This window comes from Homo sapiens, chromosome 6, assembly GCF_000001405.40.
Source record: "Homo sapiens chromosome 6, GRCh38.p14 Primary Assembly".
Classification (NCBI taxonomy): Eukaryota; Metazoa; Chordata; class Mammalia; order Primates; family Hominidae; genus Homo; species Homo sapiens.
This window is the reverse complement of record NC_000006.12, coordinates 123564203-123583192: the sequence shown is the minus strand read 5'-3', so window position 1 is coordinate 123583192 and position 18990 is coordinate 123564203. Positions and strand designations below refer to the sequence as shown.

At 36.8% G+C, this 18990-nt stretch overlaps 1 protein-coding gene and 1 long non-coding RNA gene across 7 annotated transcripts in view; one reads left to right on the top strand and one right to left on the bottom strand.

The window, feature by feature from the left end:
• Positions 1-18990, top strand: part of TRDN (triadin) — a 420612-nt gene that overhangs the window by 53758 nt on the left and 347864 nt on the right. For all 6 annotated transcript variants that reach the window (NM_006073.4, NM_001407315.1, NM_001251987.2 and 3 more), the window contains exon 2: positions 12061-12270. In NM_006073.4, the coding sequence (NP_006064.2) occupies positions 12061-12270 (210 nt within the window). The remainder of the gene's footprint in view (positions 1-12060; positions 12271-18990) is intronic.
• The window catches only part of LOC105377982 (uncharacterized), a 51063-nt gene continuing 44784 nt past the window's right edge, over positions 12712-18990 (bottom strand). The window contains exon 6 of the long non-coding RNA XR_001743833.2: positions 12712-12773. This is a non-coding gene — a long non-coding RNA (uncharacterized LOC105377982). The remainder of the gene's footprint in view (positions 12774-18990) is intronic.

Genomic DNA, 18990 nt, shown 5'->3' with positions numbered 1-18990 from the left:
TCACAGCTGATATCTCCTGGTGCCATCCCCAAACTGCCACTCTTAACTCTTGAAGTAAATAAATAATCTTTGCTGGCAGGACTATGCTGATCTCCTTAGGCACTCTCTAAGCAGATGTCCTGAGTCATCCCAATTCTTAGACCTTTTATACCTGTTTTTCTCCTTCTCTTATTCCGTTTAGTTTTTCAATTCATACAAAACTGTTATCCAGGCCATCACCAATACTTCTAAATTACAACTATTCCTTCTAACAACCCCACAATATCACCCCTTACCACAAAATCTTCCTTCAGCTTAATCTCTCCCACTCTAGGTTCCCACGCCCCCCCAATCCCACTCAAAGCAGCCCTGAGAAACATCGCCCATTATCTCTCCATACCATCCCCCAAAATTTTTGCTGTCCCAAGACTTTACCACTATTTCATTTTATTTTTCTTATTAATATAAGAAGACAGGAATGTCAGGCCTCTGAGCCCAAGCTAAGCCATCATATCCCGTGACCTGCACGTACACATCCAGATCGCGGGTTCCTGCCTTAACTGATAACATTCCACCATAAAAGAAGTGAAAATGGCCTGTTCCTGCCTTAACTGATGACATTGTTTTGTGAAATTCCTTCTCCTGGCTCATCCTGGCTCAAAAGCGCCCCCACTGAGTACCTGTGCCCCCCACTCCTGCCTGCCAGAGAACAACCCCCCTTTTTCCTTTACCTACCCAAATCCTATAAAACGGCCCCACCCCTATCTCCCTTCACTGACTCTCTTTTTGGACTCAGCCCACCTGCACCCAGGTGAAATAAACAGCTTTATTGCTCACACAAAGCCTGTTTGGTGGTCTCTTCACACGGACGCGCATGAAATCCATAACTCCTTATCTTAACCCAGACACACCTGTCTATTGATTCTGGGTTGTTAGATAATAAACTAACTCTTACTTAACTTTTTCAACCAGCCGTCAATCAGAAAATCTTTGAATCTGCCTATGATCTGCCCCTCAGTTCGAGTGGAAATGCCCCCCATTTCGAGTTGTCTCACTCTTCTGAACTGAACCAATGTATAGGGTACATGTATTGATTATTGGTTTTGCCTGTAACTTTTGTCCCCCTAAAATGTGTAAAATCAAGCTGTAACCCATTCACCTTTGGCATATGTTCTTGGGACCTCTTGAGATGTGCCTTGGGCCTTGGTCACTTATATTTGGCTCAGAATAAATCCATTCATTTATTTTACAGAGTTTGATTCTTTTTGATTGGCTATCTACCCATTTAATCTCTTCAATCTGGTTTTGGAAACCTCTCCCAGATGTTGCCACTTGGAAATTTAAAAGGTTTAATAACATCTGAAATTGTCTCCTTACAAAAAGTTTTCTCTGTTTGATGATTGGCATTATTTACTGAATATATGCTTTCTTTCTGTCATTTTTTTCTAAAACATTAGTCTTTCCTCCACTGTTGTAGCCTTCTTTGGACCAGCAAAACTTTGCAGTTCTTATGAGATTCTCTTGAACAGACATGTTTTTACTTCTACCACTAGCATACCTCTCATCTCAACGTTTTCTCATATCATGAAAATGTTTTCTTTGCTACTTATTTATTTCTTGGATTAGAGGTCACTATATACCGCATAACCTTCTATATGCAGAAATATTGAGGTTATTTAACATGACACTTTTTAAAGCTGATTTCCTGTAGCAACACTTCTAATATTTCTCATATTTAATAACTATTGGGGCCTTAACTGTGCAAAATGTGCTATGCTAAGTGCTATGAAAGGATAGATGACTTGATCCCTACCTAGGGCCTTGTTGAAGAACAAAGATCTATAAAAAAAGTCAGAATAATTTTGTTCACATCACAGTATTCATCAAAAAATGCTATGGTATTACAAGTAAGAAGAGTAGAGTTCAGGTCAAAAGATTAAGGAAATATTGTCAAGGAGTTGACATCTGAGGTAAATCTTGGAAGAGGAGTTAGATTTAAACAGTGGGAATTTAATAAGATTGTTTTAAAAAAATAAATACAGATTCATCAGGAACTTTTGGCCACTTTAAATTAGTAAAATGCAATGGGCTTCACCTGTAATGTCTCAGGAATTCAATATCTCTGGCTTCAAAAAATGAATTCTAGCCAAGTGTGGCAGCTCTTCCTTGTAGTCTCAGATGCCTGGGAGGCTGTTGGGAAAGGATCACTTGAGGCTGGGGTTTGAGACCAGCCTAGGCAATACAGCGAGACCCTGTCTCTAGAAATAATAAAAAATTAAATTAAGAAATGAATTCTAGTTTTCAACCTAAAATAATTAAAAGTATCATAATCTAATAATTTAAAGAGAGTTTCTTCAAGTGCAAACTGTGAGGATGGACCACTTGGAAACACCAACTACAAAGGAATGAAGTCAGTGTTCCAAAGTAGAGAGGTTGAGGCTTTATTTACATAGAGAAGAACTCTAAGCAGTTTTCCAACATTATTTATACAAGGTTGTTGCATAGTTACAGCTATTTGATTGGTGATAGGCAGGGTCTCTTTTTGACAGGGTACATTTAATATATATTTTATAAAGGGTATAATAATCATGGTTTTCTGTCATCTGTTCTAAGCAAACCAGGACAACAAAGAGGAAGTTAATCTATAACAATGTCATTAGAAGGCAAGAGGTTTTCCCTGATGTCATTTAATTCTGTCTAGCCATTGCAGAGAACAAGAAAAATATGCAGGTGAGTTAATCTATAATCTGAGAAGTTGTAACTCTAGGTAACTCAGATCACAGTCCCATCTTTCTCAAGGCTTAAAGTGTTTTTTGGGGGTTCTAAATTTTAAATTTTAGCTTTTAAATTTTACTAGCCTTTAAATTCCAGCTTTTAAATTTTACTGATTTTACATAGTTATGCTCTCATCATTGCTTTTCACCTTTAAATTCAATTTACTGTTTGTAGAAAAAATAGTGTTCTGAATGGTGAGGACCTGCTAAATTGAAAATGTAAAGTCAAAGACCAATAACGAGCTCTGAAATGGACTGAAATGGTCAGTAACAAGTACCCTACTGACCAAAAAAAGCCTGGGACCAGATAGATTCACAGCTGAATTCTATTATTAATTGATATACAAAGAAGAGCTGGTACCATTCCTTCTAAAATTGTGTATTAGTTCCTTTTCATACTGCTATAAAGAACTGCCTGAGACTGTGTAATTTATAAAGGAAAGAGGTTTAATTGACTCACAGTTCAGCATAGCTGGGGAGGCCTCAGGAAAGTTACAATCATGGTGGAAGGTGAAAGGAAAGTAAGGCACCTTCTTTTCAGGGTAGCAAGAAGGAGAAGTGCTGAGTGAGGGAGGGGGCAGAGCCCCTTATAAAACTATCAGGTCTTGTGAGAACTCACTCGTCACAAGAACAGCCTGGGGGAAACTGCCCCCGTGATTCAATTAATTCCACCTGGTCTCTCTCTTGACATGTGGGGATTATAGGGATTACAATTTAAGATGAGATTTGGGTAGGGACATTGAGCCTAACCACATCAGAGGCACTCCTCTCCAACTCATTATATGAGGCCAGCATCATCCTCATACCAAAACTTGGCAGAGGCACAACAACAAAAAAAGAAAATGGCATGCCAATGTTATTGATAAACATTGATGCAAAAATCCTCAACAAAATCTTGCAAACCAAATCCGTCAGCACATCAAAAAGCTAATCGATCACTATCAAGTAGTCTTCATCCCTGTGATGCCAGGTTGGTTCAACATATGCAAATCAATAAATTTGATTCATCAAATAAATGGAACCAAAGATAAAAACCACATGATTATCTCAATAGATGAAGAAAAAGGTTCTGATAAAATTCAACATTCCTTTATGTTAAAAATTCTCAATAAACTAGGTATTGAAGGAACATACCTCAAAATAATAAGAGCCATCTGTGATAAACCCACAGCCAACGTCATACTGATGGGGCAAAATCTGGAAGCATTTCCCTTGAAAACCAGCACAAGAAAATGATGCTCTCTCCTACCACTCTTCTTCAACATAGTATTGGTAATCCTGTCCAGGCAAGAGAAAGAAATAAAGGGCATCCAAATAGGAAGATAGAAAGTCAAACTATTTCTATTTGCAGATGACATGATTCTATATTTAAAAATATCAATAGTCTTGGCCTGAAAGCTCCTTAAGCTGATAAACAACTTCAGCAAAATGTCAGAATACAAAGTAATGTACAAAAATCAGTAGCATTCCTATACACCAACAACAGCCAAGCTGACAGCCAAATCAGGAAGGCAATTACATTCACAATTGCCACACACACGAAAAAACCACCTAGGAGTACATGTAACCAGGGAGGTAAAAGATCTCTACAATGAGAATTACAGAACACTGCTCAAAGGAAACAGAGAAGGCAAAACAAACAGAAAAACATCCCATGCTCACGGATAAAAATAATATCATTAAAATGGCCATACTGCCCAAGGCAATTTATAGATTCAGTGCTGTTTCTATCAAACTACCAGTGACATTCTTCACAGAACTAGAAGAATATTTTAAAATATGTATAAAACCAAAATAAGGGCCCAAATAGCCAAGACAATCCTAAGCAAAAAGGAAAAAGATGGAGGCATTACATTACTCAACTTCAAACCATACTACAGGGCTACAGTGAGCGAAATAGCATGGTACTCATACAAAAACAGTCACATAGACCAATGGAACAGAATATAGGGCACAAAAATAAGGCCCCATACCTACGACCCTCTGATCTTCGACAAAGCTGACAAAAACAAGCAATGGGGAAGTTATATGTAAACTCATGTCACATGACTCCCTACTCAATAAATGATGCTGGGATAACTGGCTAGCCATATGCAGAAGATTGAAACTGGACAACTTCCTTACACCTTATACAAAAATCAACTCAAGATGGATTAAAGACTTAAATGTAAAACCCAAAACTACAAAAAATCTGGAAAACAACCTAGGCAATATCATCCTGGACATAGGAATGGGCAAAGATTTCATGACAAAGATACCAAAAGCAATAGCAACAAAGGTAAAAATTGACAAACAAGATCTAATTAAACTTTAGAGCTTCTGCACGGCAAAGGAAACTATCACCAGAATGAACAGACAACATACAGAATGGAAGAAAATTTTTGCAAACTATGTATCTGACAAAGGTCCAATATCCAGCATCTATAAATAACTTAAATTTACAAGAGGACAACAAACAACTCCATTAAGAAGTGGGCAAAGGACATGAAAAGACACTTTTCAAAAGGAGATATACATGCAGCCAACAAGCACATGAAGAAAGCTCAATATCACTGATCTTTAGAGAAATGCAAATGAAAACTACAATGAGATACTATCTCACACCAGTCAGAATGGCTATCATTAAAAAGTCAAAAAATAACAGATGTGAGGCCGCAAAGAAAAGGGAACACTTATACACTGTTGGTGGAAGTATAAATTTGTTCAACTATTGTGGAAAGCAGTATGGTGATTCCTCAAAGAACTAAAAACAGAACTCATTCAACCCAGCAATCCCATACTGGGTCTATGCTTAGAGAAATAGAAATTATTCTACCTTAAAGACACATGCATGCAAATGTTTTGCAGCATTATCAAATAGCAAAGACATGAAATCAACCTAAATGCCCACCAATGACGGATTAAATAAAGAAAATGTGGTACATATACACCATGGAATACTATGCAGCCATAAAAAGAACAAGATCATGTCTTTTGTGGGAACATGGATGGAGCTGCAGGCTATTATCTTTAGGAAACTAATGCAGGAACAGAAAATGAAATATCGCATGTTCTCACTTATAAGTGGGAACTAAATGATGACAACTCATGAATGCAAAGAAGGGAACAACAGACACTGGGGCCTACTTGAGGGTGGAGGGTGGCAGGAGGGACAGGAGCAGAAAAAAAATAATTGTTGGGTAACGAAGCTTAGTACTGGGGTGATGAAATAACCTGTACAACAAACCCCCGTGAAATGAAATCTGCCTTGACCTTGCAATTTCCAAGCCACTAGAACTGTAAGAAATAAATGTTTCTTGTTGATAGCTACCTAGTTTATAGTATTTTGTCAAAGCAGCCTGAGCAAATGAAGGCACTTGCTGTGATTTGATAGCCTACTTCTCAACAGTGCTAATGTTCCTTCTTATTTTAACTCCTGTAAATTCACTTTCCCCCTACCTTATGAAGTTGGCATTTTCTTTTTTTTTTATTTTATTTTAAGTTTGGCAGTACATGTGCAGGTGAGTTATATGTAAACTGATGTCACATGTCTCCTGACACTTTTCATGAAAGCCCTAAATTGCCACCCACTCCATCCACTGTTCCATTAAGTGAATTTCACTCAATCCACTGTTCCATTAAGTGAATTTCTTTTTCTAGTGGTGGGACTAGAAATGGAACCAGCCCTTGTTTCCCAGACCTCCCTTTCCTGGCAGTAGACCTTCATTGCTATGGTCTGAATGTTTGTGTCTCTCCAAAATACACATTGAAATCCTCATTCCTAAGGTGATGGCATTAGGAGTTGGGGCCACTGGGGAGTGATTAGGGCAGGAAGGTGGAGCCCATGAATGGAATTAGTGACCTTATAAAAGCGGCCTGGGAGAGACTCCTCATCCGTTCCACTCAATGGAAGAGTGAATGGAGTGGGTAGGTAGGAAGGAGTGCCAGATAATGTTAAAATAAATAGATAAATAAAATAAAAATAAAAATAAATTAAAAAAGAAAAACCATACATATGTCAACCTCAGCAGACAGACTAAGTGGCAAAAACACCCTCTGAAATTGCATTATGATAATCATATCCCAAAAACCTGGGAGAAAAGGTGGCAATTTAGGGCATTCATTAAAAGTGTCCAGAGACTAGTTTACATTTTGTAAACACTAGAATTGGTAAAAAACATTTTAAGTTAAATAATGAATTTATTATGTTTGAGCTTTATCTGCCCAAATGTCTTTCCACTTGAATTTCTATGAAGTTCTTATTTACATGCATGTATTTTGGAACACAAACAATATAGCAAGAGTCACTTTTTCATGTGATTGGGAATTATGTTCTTAAAGTAATTTGGGAATAACACATATAATGCCATCAGTAGTATATACTTCCTTTCTCTCATTTGCTCTACACATCTTGAAAGAGAGATACAGTGTAAGAGTACTACACAAACCACATCACAGGGTGAAATGCAAAATCATAATTAATGCTTTTATGTAATGAGAATGCAATGTTTCATTTATACCATTCTAGAATGTAGGTGTCTTCCTTGAGCATCCTGAAAGAGATTGTATTGTCAGCGTCCCACAGGAAAAATAAAGAATAATAATATGGAAGTGCACTTGGCAGTTTCTTCATCTGATCGATAAGGCATCATGAGGTTAAGTGACTTCTATCAGGAGGCTTATGGCTTATTCTTCTGCATATAACCTGACTCTAGAGCCAGTCTTTAGATCCATTATATAAGCAATCCCTCCTTTTACTCTATAGGAAAGAGTCGCATGGCCATTAAGTGAGATCCCTACTTCTTTTGAGGCTGATTCTGTCTGACAATCAAAATTTTGTATGAAATCAAAATGAATAGAATTAAAAAGCAGGCCTGGAAAGTGCTTTACATATCCTAGCTGCTCTGCTCCAATTCTGAGATACCAACTTTCAAGAGGCATAGCCCATGTCAAATTGCTCGGTAATATTTACCTCTCATTTTTTCTGCCATATCAATAACTAGCTCTTGTCATCTTTAAAGTGCTTCTCAAACATTAAATAATCTCAGATCACATACTCTGTTCTTTGCATTTATCTTGACCAGCTGTCAGAGAAGGCAATTTATTCCCTCTCAATTTTATTCCTCTTGGCTCTGTGTGGCTTCTGCAGTAATTTTGAATGGAAATTGAAAGGTACAACTTAATGTGTTTCATAACAAGGGCAACACATAATTTTCTTTAAGAAGGATGACCTTCAGATTACTTTCAAATTGCTTATAGCTTTGGGGTTGTATACTCAGAACATATTTTCAGTATCTTTGAGTCATGATTAATTCTTAAGTGGAAATTTTGAGGGTGTGAAGATTAAAAAAAGGACAATGAAAAACATAACAGTATTAATTTATCATTTTCATCTATTTAAAAATTGTACCATAATTGGATTGGAAGGATCATTAAGTGAATACAAATTTAGAATTCATATTATGTCAGTTGTTTAGAAAACGTAAAATTCATTTTTAACTCAGAGCTTGCATTTCTGAATATTTATACTTTCTCAATTTTTTGATCAAAGAAAGGAAAATGTGTGTATATATATATATATATATATATATATATATATATATGTATATATAAATTCATGTTCTGTTTTAAATGTTTAGCCTTTTTACAATGTGACCAGGATTCAACTCATTCATATCAAATCTCAGTAAAATTACTCCTTGAGTTTCGGTATACAAAGCAGGTATGTGTAATACTGTTTACAGAAATAGTCTCTAATATACAACTCAATACAGTGAATCTGAAGTGCAAAAGCAAATTCTTGTGTTCTCTGCTTAGTGGTAGTAGGAAGGCTTCCAGTGGTTAAAAAACTGCAGATTACAACATATCAACTTTCAGGTGGGCCAGTCCTAAACACTCATAATTGGTTTACTTTGCTGCAAATCATTATTCCAAAGGTTTGATTCACTTGTAGCCCCACTTGGGTCTTAAATTGCATTTCAAAGCACTCCTATCATTCATCCATTTTCAGAACTACCATTAGGAGTGATGTGAATTTGGCACAATAATCAATGAGAAGATATTATATGAGTCCTTTTAAAATTTTCCTTCTTGAGCACCACCTCAAGTGCAGTTTGTGAAATCTGGGTTTTAGAAGTATTTTTTTTATCTTGCTATCATTTTCACTAAGTTAAGTTCAAGAACTTCGGATATGTATTCCACAGTTTTTTTTCCGAAAAGAGATTTGTTGTCACTATTGTTAATTTCTACCTAAAGCCATTTAAACATCTTAATTAAATTATTTTGCTCCGATGTTCCTTATCAGCTTTTGAATTTTTTGAAAATATGGGGCTAAATTTATCACTGTTATCTAAAAAATAACTAAAAAACTAATTTTGTTTGGTTACCACCTGTTAGTATGTGCTCTTGAATGCATTTGATTTTCTTTCCTGATTAGTCATAGAATTTCATGTTATTTATCTCATTTTTGTAAAGAGAAGGATAGTATTATTTTATGACTAAAGAAACCAGAAGAGTAAGACTTTATTAACTAAAGTATTTAATTTTGCTGGCAGTGTTATTTCTTTCTCCAATACTTAAAAATTATCTTATAAACTGCACTTATACTACAAGCATCCTGTGTACATAGCTGTTTGAAGGGTTCAAATATTATTTTTCTAATTTAAGGAATTCAGTTATAGTGATAATGTTTGTACCATGATGAAATAACTCTATTTGCCATAGATCATCTTTTCTAATTTTGCTAATGGGATAAAACAGCCTCTACTTGTACGGATAAATTATACTGTATGTTCCTCTTTGCCTGTATTACAAGCAGTCAATTAATTGATTGGAAAGGATACCAAGGAAGTCAGAGAATCCTTTTTTGAGTCCCTGAAAATATCTTAGCCTAATGTATGTGCTTATTAAATGGAAACAAATGCCTGCATTTATTGAAGAGTTGGTGCTTCCACCTTTGTTTCCGAGGTTAATCCTGCCTTTCTAGCCTTTTCTTAGAGTGATATTTGTAGTTGTAGTGAGAGTCATAGTTGTGCTGGTAGCAATGAAGGTGATGTAATAAATGAAAATAGTGGTGATGATAATAATGATTATGATATAGCTCAGTAGTTGTTGTATTGTCATTTATTAAATGACTACCATGTACCAGGAAATGTGTCAAACAATTTGCATGAGTTATTTCTCCACCATCACACACCTGCAAATTGAGTCTTACCAATCTCATTCATCAGATCTAGATGCTTCTCACTCAGAGATGTAGTGTAATAGCGACCTTCTAGCCATTTGGGTAATGCAGAGAGAAGCCAGGAGTTAATTCCAATCTCTTATCTATGAAGCCCAAAGCATAACTTTTTTGCTTGACTGTTTCCATGGAAAAGCTAGACATACCTGAAAGGAAGAGTTGTGATGGTAGAGCAAGAGACTGATGGAAAGAAGCACTTTAATTCCACCCTGTCTTCAAAGAGCACAAAGGCTAAAATCTTTCAATTATTATTGGACACATTCTAAAAGAAACTACAGCTACTCTTTCCAGTTGGGTAAAACTGACTTTGTGAAAAATGTTAAAGAAATTTGAGAATTTAGATTTTCTTATGTATCCATCACATAGAGATGTTGCAATTTTGAGATAAATAGTAAAATTGAAACAATGTAATCATGTATTTTATATTGAATCAAAGTTTTCTTTCTTGGCATGTAATTCTTAAATTATTATAGACAATATGGTCTGTATTTTAATACACAAAAATGTTTTTTAACTTTGCTTTTGGCAAAAATATTTGGATTGGTAGAGTTTTATTTTCCCTTAAGTATTCAATTACTTACTTCACATCTGTATAATTTGGGATTTAAAGTGCTATGAACATGATTTTAATTTTCTAGTAGGTCTGCAATTGTTCTTAAATGTAACATGAAATAGTTGTTCCAGATGATCTCTCAGTTACTTCTAGATTTAACTTTCTACGAGTCAAGTGTAGCCCAGATAATGAGACATGTTTTCTCTCCATCCAGGAGGCTTTCTAGCCATACAGTAGTATCAATTTTATAGAAGAAGAATGAGTTACACCATTGTTAGATGTACGTTCTGTATATTAAAATAGCATTAAAAGAAAAGGTAAAGAGTCACCAAAAAAAGGCAACATAAAGGTTAAAGTGTTATTATCTTACATATGTGTGTATGTATGCAATTTTAGAAACCACCAAAAGGAGGTTTACAGAAAAATGGAGGAAAAATCCACAAGAAAAGAAATACCAAGGAAAAACGAACATACAAACAGCTCATTTCTAGTAATCAAATATTGCAAATAAAATTCAAATCTTCTCTTATTGCAAAAATTTTAAACATCACTGATAGTATTGTCAAGGATAAGGTAACAAAACTACTGGCATGCACAATTTTTAAAAGATACTAACTTTCAAATACGTGCATGTATTCTCAAAGCTATAAAAGTGATTATGTTATTTGTCCCAGGAATTCTATATTTAGGACTTTCTCCTAAAGAAATAAATAATAATATGTGCTGAGAAAATTTCTGCCCTATCCCAAGGTAGAAAAGTTTTTGATTAAATTACGCACAGCCATAAAATTACATGTCATGAAGCCACTTAAATGGTATTTTGAGAAATACAGAATGGCAATAAAACACACTTCTGATATATTGCCTAGTAAAAAAAAGTAAAAGACAATGTGCTAATGACTTGTCAAAACCAGATAAACCATATTTATATATTTATATGTATGTACAGAAATATACGTGCAAAATATTAACAGTGGTTATTTCTGGGTGGTGAGATTAAAACTATCTGCTTATCTATTTATTTTATTTTTATATTTTTTGAATTTTCTCTCATGAACATGTGGACTCTTAAAATCAGGAATAAAAGAGGTACTGGATATAGTAAGACTTTCTAACATCATTATCTTAGATCTTCTGTGCCCCTACAAACAAACAAACAAACAAACAAACAAACAAAACATGAATGACCTCATTAGATGACCTCACTAGATGGGTCAATTATACAATTAAGTTAAAATATTCAGAAGAAGTTTTATCCATTTGAACCATTTTATCACTTGTGTTGATTCTCCCTCAGAGGACTTAGGAGATGAGAAACACTGATTATATGAGCGCACGAGTTTTAGGGAGAATAGTAAATGCTGAGGAAAAGATAATGTGCTAGTGGGCAGGGAGGCTTTGTCCTGCCACTAAGGAGTTGTGCTGCTCTAGAAAGCAGTATAAACAGGTTCAGCACTCATATAGTCAGTGTTTCTCATCATCAATATTTACCATGAATCTCTAAATTATATTTTCCTTTCTGAATGTTTGATTAGGAAATGCATCTACAACCACAACTGTGATAGACAGCAAAAATGGATCTGTGCCCAAATCCCCCGGAAAAGTGCTGAAGAGGACAGTCACAGAAGACATAGTGACGACGTTCAGCTCCCCTGCAGCCTGGCTTCTGGTCATTGCCCTGATAATCACGTGGTCAGCTGTTGCCATCGTTATGTTTGATTTAGTGGATTACAAAAACTTTTCAGGTAAGTTCCATAAAATTTGGCTTTAAAATTAAAATTAATTCAAATGGAAAGAAACAGTGTCCCCTCCAGTTCCTGCTTGGTTTCTGTTTCATCTTAGTGTGAGGAAGAAACACCCCACAAATGTGCTTGAGGATCACTGAAATCTGTTTCATTCTTCCCTTTTTCCTCCTATTCTCTTTCTTTGTCGGTGGTACTTATTGATTTCCAATGAAATTGATATCCTTATTTGCAAGAGCTGAACAAAGCCTGAATGTTGCAGTTCATAAAGATAATAGTTAAAAAGCTTGGGTGAAGATTTCGTTTGGAACTGGTACTTTATCAAGCATTAATAAGGAATAATTTGTAGGTTTTACACTTGGCAATATAAAACCAAACCAATCAAAACACTTTTGGACAAATGGAAAATATTTTAAAGTATTTTTAAGCCCTGCTGTCATCTGGTCCTAAGTGTCCTTGCCAGACAAACTCTTTGCTTCTGCCACCGGCCATCCTATTTTGAGTTCCTGAAAATAAAGAGAGTTTTTCACAAAATTACATATAATTGTTCATTTTTTGTTCAATGATATTTTACATATTTTAAACTGTATTTATTTATTTTGACATATGACACCCTCTATTGACTGTGAGCTCCCTAAGGAAAGGAATCAGCCAAGTGCTGAGTAAATGTTACATGACTAGATGAGTGAATTTATTCTTATCACTTTTTTACCATAAGCGAAACATTTCATTAATCTTTTAATGTGTTCTCTCATATGTACTCTCCCCTCCCCTTTTTTCTTTCTCCAACAGGAGTAGAATCAGTAGGACCCAGACACTATAAATACTAGTAATTGCATTCTACATATTCAGGGTTCTCCTATTTCTCATTATGGAATTTTACTCATTCAGCAATCAAATGTGTATTCTTTGTGTCAGGAGATGGCTATGCCACAGACCTCAAGAAGAAATACAATATAAAATTATGAAAATAGAACTCTGTTGTTTGGGTTTATTGGCATAAAGGTGTGATATAGTTTGGATATGTGTTCCCTCTAATCTCATGATGAATTATAATCCCCAGTGTTGGACATGGGCCTAGCAGGAGGTGACTGGATCACAGGGATGCATTTTTTAGTGAGTGGTTTGGCACTGTCCCCTTGGTGCTGTCCTCACAATAGTGAGTTCTCATGAGATCTGGTTGTTTAAGTGTGTGGCACCTCCCTGCTCCACTCTCTCCCTCTTCTCTGGCCATGTGACATGCCTGCTCCTCTCTCCTCCTTCTACCATTATTGCAAGCTTCCTGAAGCCCTCCCAGAATCCAAGAAGACACCAGCATCATGATTCCTGTACAACCTGTATAACTGTGAGCCTATTAAACCTATTTTGTTTATAAATTACCCAGTCTTAAGTATTTCTTTATAGCAATGCAAGAGCTTTATAGCAATGCAAGAGCTTAATACAGAAAATTGGCACCAGTAGTGGGGTATTGCTATAAGGATACCAGAAAATGTGGAAGCAACTTGGGAACTGGGTAATGGGCAGAAGTTCAAAGAGTTTGGATTGCTCAGAAGAAGATAGGAAGAGGAAGGAAAGATTGAAACTTCTTAGTGACTGGTTAAATGGTTGAGACCAAAATGCTGATACTGATATGAACAGTGAAGTCCAAGCTGATGAGGTCTCAGATGGAAATGAGGAATGTATTGGAGACTGGATCAAAGGTGATGCATGTTATGCCTTAGCAAAGATCTTGGCTGCATTCTTTTCATGCCCTAGGGATCTGTAGAAGTACGGACCTGAGAGTAATGATGTAGTGTATCTGCTGGAAGAAATATCTAAGCAGTAAAACATTCAAGATGTAGCCTGGCTGCCTCTACCAACCTATTCAAAGATGTGGGAACAAAAAAATGACTTAAAGTGGAACTTATCTTTAAAGGGGATGCAGAGTATAAAAATTTGGAAAATTTGCAGCCTAGCCATGTGACAAAGAAAGAAACAGCTTTTTTGAGAGAGGAATTCAAGCAGGCTGTGGAGAAACCACTTGCTAGAGAAATTTGCGTAACTAAAAAGAAGCTACGTGCTGATAGCCAAGAAAATGGGAAAAAGGTCTTGAAGGCATTTCAGAGACCCTTGCAACAGTCTTTCCCATCATAGGCCCAGATGTCTAGGAGTTAAGAAGGGTTTCCTGGGTCAGGCTCAGGGCCCCACTGCCCTGGCCAGCCTCAGAAGAGTGCTGCCTATATTTTGGCTGCTCTGGGTCCAGCTGTGGCTTAAAAGGCCACAGGTGCAGATCAGGCTCCCACTCCAGAGGGCACAAGCCATAAGCCTTGGTGCCTTTCATGTGATGTTAAGCCTGCAGCCATGCAGAGTGCAAGAGTTAAAGAGGCTTGGCAGCCTCCACCTAGATTTCAGAGAATGTATGGGAAATTCTGGGTGCCCAGGCAGAAGCTTGTTGCAGTGGCAGAGCCCAAACAGAGAACCTCTATTAGGGCAGTGCAGAGGGGAAATGTGTGTTTGGAGGACCCACCCACACAGATTCCTCACTGGGGCATTGCCTAGTGGAGCTGTGGGAAGGAGGCCACTGTCCTCCAGACCCCAAAATGATAGATCCACTGGCAGCTTCCACCCTGCACCTAGAAAAGCTGCAGGCACTCAACAATGTGTGAGAGCAGCCTCCAGGGCTGAACCCTGCAAAACCACAACGGTAGAGCTGCCCAATTCCTTGGGACCCCACCCCTCATATCAGTGTTCCCAGGTTATGGGACACAGAGTGAAAGATTATTTTGGAACCTTAAGATTTAATGACTGCCCTGTGGGGTTTTCAACTTACATGGGGCCTTAGCTCCTTTCCTTTGGCTGATTTCTCCCTTTTGGAACAGTAATGTTTACCCAATGCCTATACCCTCATTGTGTCTTGGAAGTAAATAACTTCTTTTGATTTTACAGGCTCATAGGTGGAAGGAATTTATTTCCAGATGAGACTGTGGACTTTGGACTTTGGAGTTAATGCTAGAATGAGTTAAGGCTTTGGGAGACTATTGGTCGGGGATGATTGTATTTTGCAGTGAGAGAAGAAAATGAGATTTGAGGGGCCAGAGATAAAATTATATAGTTTGGATATGTGTCCCATATAATCTCATGTCAAATTGTAATCCCCAGTGTTCGACGTGGGGCCTCTTGGAAGATTATTGTTTAATAGAGATGGATTTTTGAAGAATGGTTTAGCCAATTCCCTTGGTACTTTCCTCACAATAGTGAATGAGATCTTGTGAGATATGATTTTTTAAGTGTGTGGCACCTCCCCCGCCCCCCACTCTCTCTCTTGCTCCTCCTCTAGCCATCCATCCATGTGACCTGCCTGCTACCCCTTCCCTTCAACTTCCACCATGATTGTAAACACCCTGAAGCCTTACCAGAAGCTGAGTAGATGCCAGCACCATGCTTCTGTACAGACTGCAGAAGTGTGAGCCAAATGAACTTCTTTTCTTTATAAATGACCCAGTCTCAGGTATTTCTTTATAGCAATGCCGGAACAACCTAATACAAGGTGTGATTGAGTTGACTCTGCCAGCATACCATTGGTAGCTGGACTACCAATGAGTTAGATTCTCATCTAACAAGTAGAGAAAAGTCCCGTGATATCAAAGAAAGCAAAAGGGCTATTTATCCAGAGTCATAAATGTCTAATGTAAATAGGCAATACATAGTTTATTGTATAATAGAGGCTTTTAAAATATACACAGTTGTAATGTCTATAATGTAAATTATGACCTAGAGTTTTAAGTAAAAGACACTTGGTTACCTTACTCTACAAAATTTCATTTCCCTTGAGCTTGCATTGACTGAAGTATTTCCCTATCAGATGAAATGCCAGTAACATAGGCATTGCCCATAGAAATTAATTGCAGCTCTCCAATGGAAGCTCTACTGTGAACTATAAGTATGCCTTATTTTAAGTAATCTAATCTAAAAATCTAATTATAGGTAGCTGTGCATTTTATAAAATAAGAACAAATTCCTTTCAATGATAATTTCTGTAGTACACTTGTACATTGTTAACTTTACAAATATTTGATTTATATGCAATTCTTGAAATATGTGTATTATAAAAATGAAAGAACTATATAAATTATGGCTTCAATAACAGTTTCAAAATGTAAATTATACTCACATATTTAATGTTAATTTTGATAGACACAATTCAAACTTTTGCTAGGGATTAGTATTATCATGATGAATCTTTTGTACCATGTGATAATCTTTGAAATATATAATTGTTAGTATTTACAAAACAAGGCTAGTGGTAAAAGAAATAAACTGGAAATGATTTGGAAGGCCAGAAAGTCAGGGCAACTGTCAGTTACTCTCTGGAAGTTTAGAAAAGTAGGTAAATGCCGTGAAGCCATGAAAAGGTTGTTCATAGAGAAATGAAAATCTGTTTTTATAAGCTCATACTGTACTGGATTGAGAAGAATAATTCTCTTCTGGGCAACCTTTACAATTCCCCCTATTTTCAGAATTCTGTCTGATTTATGCATATATTTGCTACTAGTTGGGGACATGCAGAATTGGCTTTTATTTGTGGTTCATTTAGATGATTTGGGTTCGTTATTCAGCTCTATGAACCTACAAGCTAACATGACTAGGAACTTATCTTTTCTTGTCTGTGAAATGGGGATAACATCTTGCTTTCTATTCTGCAAAATTTTTGACTTTGATTCTTCTTATCAAATGAGACAAATTTTAAGGCACCAAATAAACAGACTGGAAAAGATATTTCACCTACACCACACTTCTTACTTAATGTAACATCCAAATAATATTCAAACAATACTATGCCTATCTGTCAATGTTTGACACAATAGCTGAAAGCAACTCTGAATTACATAGAATAAGGGTTTATTATATCGTTTATGAATTCATGGTAGCTGATTAATCTATGTAAGGCTGTTGCAATGCATCTGGTGTTGAGTGGAAAGTAGTCAGGGTGGAAATTGGGAAGGGAAGATGGATAGAATGGGAGGGACTTGGGACAAACTGAAACTGACAAGAACAAAGTGGAAGACTTGTTTGTCTCTCACCACCACAAATTACAATTATGCGGATGAGCTGCAGGATAAATTGACGCCTTTCCCCCACGGAACTGCACGCGCACCTGGCCAGGATTTGGAGACGCTGAAGAAGCCAGCCCAGTGTGCGCTGGAGATGTGGCGGCTGTTGCCACACAACAAGGGCAGCTAGACTCTCTGGGATCATGAGCGTGAGCTGCAAAAGCACCTGCCCTACACCAACCTTCAGACAATAAATAATGGCTTCATTATTGCCACATTCGTGCCTTCCAAAACTTGCAAAAATGTCTTGTTTCCAACTGTTACCTGAAAACATACATATAAGGGATTTCTGGGAAGACAGTTCCAGCTTAGTGCTTTGACAGTGTGCAAAGTCTTCATATAGGACAACAATATCATCTAACAGCTGAAACAGGATACTTGTGAGAGTGAAATGGGGAGCAATTAAGATTTACCTCAGGACATCAGACACAAACCAAGGTGTATGATCGCTCTGTTATCCACATTGACTTTAGTTCTCTCCTCAAAGAAGAATGATTTTGGAAACCCTAAGTGGGGGATGGGAGGACAGAGAAACGTTGCTCTCTTAGTAATTGAGGCTAGAGGCTTAGAAAGGCTGCCGGAGATCTTCCCTTCAAGCTTCTGCAGACTCAGCCAGAAAGACCTCCCTCTCAGAAAATGAAGGGGTGCCTTGATTATGTATTCTGATCTTTTGGGGCCAGAATTTGTAGGCTTTGGTTGAAATTTCTTACAAATTTCTTTTGCTTTATTTATGAAGTGACAACTTTCTCGCTAAACAATCAGAAGTGCAAACAAATAGGATTTATAAAGAAATGACTACAAACTAAGGCATTAGTGGATGTTGATGATTTTCTTCTAGGTCAGAATGTACAGCAATAGAATGTGGTAACTCTTTTCCTTCCTAAGAACAAGGATCATCATTCATTAGCATCCTCATCCATTAGAGGAAAACATCATTACATGGTTGTACCAGCGTGTCTCAAAGCACACTTGGTAATTTTTGCAAGCATTCCACAAAATATACTTATTTCAAACCAATTTTGTAAGAATTAAATACAATAATCTATGTAAAACCTACATGCCTGGCACATAGGAGGGACTCATTAAATGTAACTTGAATTTGAATCTTATTACCAGGAAGTAAGATCTGTAATCTGAGAAGAGAGCCAGCAAAGACATAATAGTAGGAAGCATCAATTTCTTATGAAAAGTCTTGCAGACATCTCCTGATGTGCCTTTTAAATAGATTTTCTAATGAGGTGTGCCATTTATCTGCTGCTCTTGGAAATTAATTTTCCTGACTTTTTTTCTTTTCTTGGCGCTTAGCCCAGTTAAGCAGGTGCACGGTTTGTCAGGCTATGAATTTAGCAGAGTAAAATCATTTAGGGAAGGCCCAAAGTCAGTCAGAAAGTACAAATTTAACATTTAATTTTACACTCATATACACACACACACACGAATATGTTATTACTTTTTAGGAAACATGGAAGACTGAAACACTAAATGCAACATTTAGGACTCTATCAACTCTCATGTGTACTGAGTTTTCAAGGAGCACATTTTGTGTGTTTCTTACTCTGATTCAAGTCTTATCTCAAATTCCATATTTTCTGCTCACTACCCCAGGCCTATTTGGTCCTCTTGGTCATTACAC